This window comes from Homo sapiens, chromosome 14 (genome assembly GCF_000001405.40).
Source record: "Homo sapiens chromosome 14, GRCh38.p14 Primary Assembly".
NCBI lineage: Eukaryota > Metazoa > Chordata > Mammalia > Primates > Hominidae > Homo > Homo sapiens.
The window spans coordinates 101,513,072-101,521,383 of record NC_000014.9 but is presented as its reverse complement, the minus strand read 5'-3'; positions in this window follow the sequence as shown (position 1 = coordinate 101,521,383).

Here is an 8,312-nt window from a genome sequence, read left to right as displayed (position 1 = left end):
CCCCCACGCTCAAAGGCTCCGGGAGTCTCCCGGGGCACCCCTTTGCACACTGTGGAGTCCTGTGGCCACCCTAGTCGCACGCTGTCCATCCCTGGGGGTAGAACTTGAACATCCAGGGTGAGGGGTCCAGGTTCCAGGCCCCGGGGCCAGGCCAGGCAGCCAGGAAGGTGCCCTGAGCTTCGGTCCTTCAGGGCTTGGCACGAGTGAACGTCTTCCCAGGCCATTGTGTTGCAATCCTTCTTGGCCACCGACCTCTGTTTCTCTGGCAATTGCAGGATTTTGCCGCTGTGATTTGGGCAATGTTTTTTTCCTTCTAAATCACCACTCTGGAAGAAGGGACTCAGCTCAGAATGAGCTGGCTTCCATTGTTTCACTTCTTTCCACAAACAGCTCCACAGCTCCCCGCTAGGTACCCGTCCAAGTGTTTCCAGGCATAATGGCAGCCCAGGGGTCACCCTGAGGTGGGGCTGCGGCTAGGGCTGCGTGGTTCCCTGGGTTCTGCAGGTCTGACCTCTTGGGCCTGGAGGTTTCCAGGGCGTAGCGTTTGGGCTGCTTCTTGAAGCCCGCTCTGCTCGTGCGCCTGCTCTGGTTGAGCACTTCCCGAGCGCCTGCTGTGTGCGGGGCACAGGCCTGGCGCTGGTCTCCAGTATCATTCTAGCCCCACCCTGAGCACTCAGAGGAGCAGACACCTGACGAACGAACGGCAGGACTGGGCTTCCAGGCTGGGTCTGCACCCCCAGCCCCCGCCTCACATCACTGCGTGCTCAGGGAAGGCGAGCCCGGCCCTGGTAGCTGGGATTCCTCCCAGGTGCACGTCCTTCACAGTTTCTGAGTCCTTCTCAGAGCCGCTGTGATCTAGGGCGCCGCTGCAGACTCTGAAGTCCACTTAGTGATGACTTATTCCCATTCCACGCATCAGTGGCCTCGGGCTCAGAGAGGTCAAGGTGCTTACACAAAGCCGCACAGCTGTAAGTGATGGGGCAGGGGCTGGACACCAGATCTGTGTGACTCCTGGTGTGAAGAAGGCCAAACTGGGGCATCACCACCAGCCTCTGTCCCAGGTGGGAGGTTGGGGAACAGCCCCGCTGTACGTGAAGGGCCTGGTCATGTCTGGCCTCTCAAGGTGCCCCCCAAAACGAACCCCTCCGTCTCCATCCCACTCAGTTACGGTGGGTGACTGGGGACTTGCGGGGACATGAGCCTGAGCTCATGTTTGGTTCCAGTGATGGGGAAACTGAGGTCAAGATGGAGCAGGGTGGGGTTGTGATGTCCTAGGCCCTTCCAGTGCTGCCGTCCCAGGATCTCAGTGACGTCTTTTTCTGGGCCCCATGATGTTTGCAGCAACACCAAAAGGCCTCTCTGCTCCTTCCTCATGAGATCTTGGGCTCTGTCCAAGGCCAACTGAAGACTGGAAATGGCAAAGAAAAGTTGGTCCCTGTCATCCTCAAGGGGACCCGATGCTGTTGGGATTCTTGGCTCCCCACATCTGCCTTCCATGACCTCGCTGTCACCCCGGTAGTGGACAGAGGGGAAGAGGGAGTCGTGGCAGCACTAGACGCAGGCACCGTCCTCGCCCCCTCACTTCTGCCTGGGCCGGCGATTGTTCTGGCCCCACTACCTGGCAGGGCTGAAGGCAGAGGTTGGGGTGCTCACCTTGCAGCTCCCTCAGGGGTTCTCCAAGAGGGGCTTTCCCAGCCAGGCCCTTCCTCCGCGCCTCCCTCGCCGCCCTCCTTCCTCTTACGGGTCTGCGTGGTCCCAGTGCCTGCTAGGTGGATGCTTTCTGAATAAAGGCATAGACCTTGTGGGGTAGGACATGCCTATGCTGAAACCTATTGACATTTTAATATTCTGCTAACAAATGATACAAACTCATGTTGGTTTAAAAAAAAAACCCATGGGTCATCATTTCCCGCATGAACACCCTTTGCTTGCTGTATGTAGATGCATGCTCAGAGGATGCCATGAAAAACTGTATTTCCAGTGGTTTTCAGAGCCGGCCCCATGTGCCAAGATTTCAGAAGCTAGGGGCTGGGCTTGTGACTTCTGGAGTCCCTCCCAGCCAGCCACGGGCTGCTGGCCCTGCCTGCCTAGCAGCGCCTTCCAGACACTCAGATGCCATGGGGGAGATGGGCCCGGCTGAAGTCCAAGCCCTGGATAATGTCAGGGAGGTCCAGGGTGAAGCCATCCTTAACCAGGCCAGGAGAGCTCTGTGGCCCTGGATCCCCACAGTGGGGGAGCCCCTCGGGCCTGCTGGGGCGGGTCACCCAGCCTCACTTCCTGTGGGCAGCCATACCCTGCAATCTGCAATGCTTCCCCGGGACCTGCTGTATGCAAAGCTCAGTTTTGAGTCAATCGCAAGAGTTCCTGATGTACGCAGAGGCCTCGTGCCTACCCCCTGGGATCCTCTGCTCCCTCTGGCCACAAAACTCCTACTGGCAGTCTTGGGGGTGACGCCAGGGGAGGCCGGCTTAGTGGTCCCGCCTCCTGTTCTAACCGTCGGAGTAAACAGGAACATTAAATCACTACTTGGGGGTCAGGAAACTGGAAATAATCAAAACACAGTGTCCTGTCCTCGGCCTGGGCACTGGGCCGCCTGTCACCAACCCAGCCTACAGCCTGGGGCTTTCCCAGCCCCACCTCTGCCCAAGTAGCTGCTCCCACGGACCGCCTCATGGGCCGGGTGTACAGCGGCCCACACCCCAGGGCACAGCTGGTGAGACTGGCGGCCTTCCCGTGCCCATACGCGGGCGCCACCCGGCTGCAGAGGTCAGAAGAGGTTGGGCTTTGCAGCTTCTCCAGCCCTCAGTCACCTTCCCCATCAGCCCTTGAACCCCAGGGGATAGGGATGGGCACAGGGGAAGAGGCCTCGGAGTGGGGAGGAGGCCTGGGAACTTGCTTCCATTGCACTGTGCTTGCGCCTGTCCCCACTGGCCTTCCGTCACCCAGAGGCCACGGGCCAGTTAGATGGGCCTGGGACACACAGAGTTGGGGAAGGGTCTCCTCTCCATCATAGGGCACCCCAGGCCACACATGCCCTTTCTAACCGACCTCCCTCCCAGTGTGTACTGCTAAAGCTTGGAGGTCTCCCAGGAGCCCCCGATGGCCACTTCCTGAAGGAGAAACTGAGGCTCAATGAAGGAGAATGGCTGCAGGCCTTGGCCCCAGGCCCCAGGCTCCTTCCTGCAGCCCAGGAAGCTTTGAAAGGCTGGTTCTGCTTCAGCGAGGGCACCGGCTGAGAAGGCGGGAAGGAGGGAGCTCCTGGGCTGGAGGGAGAAGCTTCCAGCCCGAGTGTGGCCTCTTCGTGCCTCGTCTGACACTTCCCTGCCCTCTTGGTGCCTCCACCTTCCCACCTTCAGGTGGCCTCTCAGGGTCTTCCCGTCGCTTGGATTCCGAGGGAATCTGGGGAAGCAGGCTTGGAATGTGCCCAAAGGACACACCTGGAAGCCCTGGCCCACGAGGGGACAGATCCCTGGGCCCGTGGTCCCTGAACTCCCAGAATCTGGGACGCCCTCAGCCCTGTCCTGCCCTTTGGGGTTGGGGTGGGGCTGTCTGTGCAGGAGAAGCCCTGAGACGGAACTCACACGTGGGCTGGGCTGCTGAGCCCGAGGACCCGACCCCGCTGGAACACTGGCAGAGAAAGCACTCTCTGTGCTGGGCCCCAGGGGGAGAGTGGGGATGCAGGCTTGCCTGGTGGAGCTGCCAGTCTTGGGGGTGGACTGGTGAGGATATGGACCCCGGCACCCCCCGGGACAACTGAAGAGAGGAGGCCTGAGCAGGAAGCAACCCTTTCTGCCTGGAGCCCCAGTCAGACAACATTTGGACCTGGCCTTGCACACTGAACGGGAGCTCCAATTTGGAAGCAAGGCATGCAGCCAGGGTGGGCCAGCCTGTTTGGGGACCTGTGTCAGGAAGGCTGGGGCAGCCTGTCTCTTGGCCCTCCAAGGTCTGGGCTGAGCCTGGCTTGCTGGCCATTGCCTGGGCCTTCTGAGTTTGTGCCTTCCTCACAGCCAGCCTATGATGTGGGGTGATTGTACCCATTCTAACGAGGAGGCTGAGACCCAGCAAGGTGAAGGGGTTTGAGCCCAGCCTTGGTGGCTCCAGAGACCTTGCTCCTTCCTTGTTGGGTCAGCCGTCTCCTACGCTGCAGTGAGGTGCTGGGCTTTCTGTCTGTCCTGGCCAAGTTGTCCTCCCCCTCCTCAGTGCCACAGTCTCCAGTTCCCCTCCCCAACTCCCAGCAGTGGAGTGGGTGACCCTCAAGTCTCTGCTCTTCTGCCTGCTGGAGCCAGCACCTGGGAGGGGCAGTGTTTTCTGGTCTCCATTTCCCTCCCTTCTTCTGTTTCCCCTTCCAGGGAGCTGGGGAAAGTCCCTAGGCCCAGAGCCGCAGCAGGGGCAGGGGTTGAAGACTGACCCAGGGCTCAAGGCAGGACTGGGCTGCGGTTGGGCAGGAATGGGGTTCCACCGGGGGAAGAAGTGAGTTCTCGGTCCCAGAGAAGGAGTGAGGCTCGGTTGGGCTGGGTTGAAGGTGGGTGGGGCCGACGGGGAGGGGAACATCCTGGCGGGGCAGGTAGAGACTGGATGGGGTGTGGGGCCTCAAACAGCAGCATGGGGATGCTGGAGGAGGTGGGTACCCTGGGAGGGAACCTGCTGTCCCATGCCCGTTGTGCTCCTTTGGCCTCACATGGGGTGTGGGCTGGCCAGCTCTCCCACGCTCCTGCTGCAAGAGTCTGCACCCTTTGCCCGAGGGAGCAGTCAGTCTGGAAAGTCACAGGAACCAGAGAATTCACTCCCACCCTGCCCCTCAAGAAGCAGCCGTCGGCCAGTGATCTTTGAGAGAGGAGAGTAAGTACTCAGCTCCCTTGCCCCTCATGAGCGTTCTGCACCGGGGATCAGCTTGGGTTCCCCACCTGGTGAGGTGCTTTTCAGCACGCTCTTCTTAGCTCCTTCCTGCCCGGCTAACTTTCCTGCTCCCTTCCTGGGGTCCCTGCCCACCAAAACCACAAGCACTCCATTCCCTGACTAGGGTTGGCTTAAGGGGGATCTATACTAAGTCTGGGTGTTATTGGTGAATGGTGGGAGGTGAGGGTGGAAGGATAAGCAGGGCCCATTCAGGAGGACTTGGAAGACAGATGAAGGAGCTTGAACTTTTCCCAGAGAAGCCAGAGGTTGTGGAAAGGTTTGGATTTGAAAAATATCACTTTTCTTGTTTCATGGACTGGAGCAGGTGGACTGGGGGCCAGGAGAGAGCTGAAGGGGACCCAGAGTGTGTCAGAAAAGGGTGGCGGGGGGGGAACTCTGCATCAGTGATGCTGAGGAGGGGGCGAAGGCAGAGTGCAGTGGGGGTGCTGGCTGTTCAGGTGGGGCTGGGGAGGGTACAGGTCTCTGGCAAGAGTGACAGGGCAGTGCGGATCACCACTGTGGATGCTGCCTTCCTAGACTCCCTTGCAGCTAGGAGTGGCCATGTAAGCCAGTTATGGCTGATGAGATCTATGGGGACATTCACTGGGGGCTTCTAGGGAAGACTTGTCTTCCCTCAAGACAGAAGCTATGTGAAGAGGAGTGCCCTTCCCGCCCCTCTTCCTACTTCCTGCCTTTGAACACTGTTTGAATGTTTGGAGCGGGGGCAGCCATCTTGAAACAATGAAGCTAAGGCCAGAAGAAGCCAATAGGGCCCGGCCTCAGGTCGGGAGACCCATGCCAGCAAGCACCGACCCACAGGCTCCTTGTTATGCCAGAAAAACAAACCACTCTGCTGAAGCCACTCGTTATTCACTGAGACTTCTGTTATTTGTAGCCAAAGGCATTCCTAAAGAATACAGGATTTGGTATCAAGAGTGGTGTTGGAAACAATATTGTAGCACCTAACTAGCAGAGACTGCCAGGTCAGAAGGGATGGATAGCGTGTCTGTGTTGGAAATGCTGACTCGAGGCCCTTAAGGGTCATCCAGGTGAACGTGTCTGAATGCAGCTGGACACGCCACTGTAGAGCCCAGGAGAGAGGCTGCTGAGGACAGACATGGATGGTGGCTAAGGCCATGAAAAGGGTGAGATTGCTCAGGGAGAGTGGCAGAGGAAGAAGGCCAGTGGATACAGAGAGAGCTCCAGGAAAGGCCAGCACTTGCGGAGTGGGTGGAGAAGGGAGCACCTCCCACAGCCAAGGGGGACGAGCAGTGATCATGTTCCCAATCAACCCCCCATTTACTGAGCAGCTAATAAGCATGAGTCACTGAGATTGACATCTACTGTCTTGCCTATTTGGCCCGCACAACAGCCTTCCAAGCTAGGCACTACTGCCGTGCCTGCTTTACAGAGGAAAACATGGAGCCTCTGAGAAGGTGCCACCATGATTCAGAGCTTGAAGAGACCTTCCAGAGGGGGCACCAGAGAGGCACCAGGGAGGTGGGAGTGCTGCTGGGCTGACTCTGGGACCGGGCGGGGTGAACAGACCCAGTAAGTGAGGGGGAGGGGAGGCGGGGCACTCCGGTCACAGGGGACAGCATGAGTGAAGGGGATGGTGGCATCTGGCTGGGCCTCAGAATGCAAGAGGGGCCTGGGAAGTTGGAGGGGGGTAGCATTTGGGGTCTTGAATACCAGTCTGTGGAGTCTGGTGTTTACTGGAAAAGCTTGGAGGGAGCAGGTTGGCCAGTGTGAGCTCGCCCTTGCCCTGAAGAGCATGGAGTGGTGAGGATGGGGCTGCCCCTGAGGGGCCTGGTGCAGACACGCTTTCTCCCTTCCCAGATGTCTCTCGAGGAGAGGCAAGACCTCAGTTGGAGCCCTTGGCACATAGCCACAGCAAACAACTTGTCCTCATTCTCATTGAGTAACTGCAGTTAGACCCTTTAGTCTGTCCAGGCCATTTCAGGTTAGTGGGGCTGCCTATAGCCCAGGTAGGGCAGCCCAGGACCCAGGGCTCACTACCCCAGGCCAAGCCTCCGTGTCTGTGGGCTGGAGCCTGGACATGGAGGGGGCCCGTGGGCTGGCAGGGCCAGGAGCGCTGAGTCTGCGCAGTGCCTGTTCTGGGGGCTGGCTTTCCAACCTGCCAGGGGAGACAGGAATGGGGCTGAGGGTCTCACTGTGGCAGCCACATGCTAAGGGAGGTGCAGGGGAGCCCTCAGTCAGGGCAGGCTGATCCACATTGGAGGCCAATGCCAGGATGTCTGTCCTTCCATCTGCTGCTGGCCGCATGGGACCAGAGAGGCCTCCATCTGAGGAGGGTGGGGGCTGGTCCTAGGACAGGAGGGAGCAGTGGGGTGGGGCCGAGTCAGGGAGGGAGGGGAGCTCCAGCCGCACCCCCGTCCCCCATGGTGTGAGACCTTGGCAGGCCCTTCCCTCCCATCATCTCCTCACTTGCAATGTGGGCACCCTGTGCCCCATCCTGTGGGTTCTGTTGTAGGAACAAAATGAGATGATTCAGACGAAGTCCCAGGCCCGTGGATTTCGCAAACAATTAAAATTTCAAAAATCAACTTTAGTTCCTGTCGTAGGGTGCCAAGTTCGTATTTTGCCAAGTTAAGAGCATTGAAAACAAAAACAAAATGCCAGCTACCCTTGACTGGTACCGTCACTCCACAAAGGAACAGTATTTGGATGCAAAAAGGGTTGGAGCCCATCTCAGGGCGATAGGTGGCCCTCTAGGGAGACAGCAGCAGCATGGGACATGCTTGACCTCACCTTACTTTGTCCTTCACCTCTGGGACTGGGTTTGGGGGCCCCACACGGCCTACAGCTCAGTGGGTGCTCTCTTTGCAGGGCTGGCGTTGTGGTGCCTGCTCCTGCAGGCTGACCCAGGGTGGGGTGGCGATGAGAAGCGCAGACTCCACAGACTGGTATTCAAGGCCCCAAATCCTAATCCCCTCCAACTTCCCAGGCCCCTCTTGCATTCTGAGGCCCCAAGCACCTCAGAGGCTTTCACTGGGGAGAATGAGATCCCGGGAGAGGCGCATCCTGCAGGGTTGCTGTGGGTCCCCTGCATGTGGACGTTCTAGTCCATTCTGGCCCCAGACAAGATCAAAGGCCCTCCTCACTGTGATCCAGGCTTAAAGCCAGATTCCCACGGGGGCGGGTAGCGGGAGAGCACTCAGTGGCTGCTTCCGCACCTTTCTGGAAGTGGTCTCTGATTGAAAGGGTCCCCTGCTCCATGTGATGAATCCAGATGCCTTCCCAGGTGCATCCCATCCAACTCTCAGCAAAGGTGGCGCAGTTTGGAAGAAGATTCGGGCCACATGGGGGCCGTCTAAGAGATGAGGAGTCTAACGTGCAAACGCCTGACCAGCAGGTGTTTGTAGGTACCTGAGTGCCTTGCAGCCCTGGTGGCT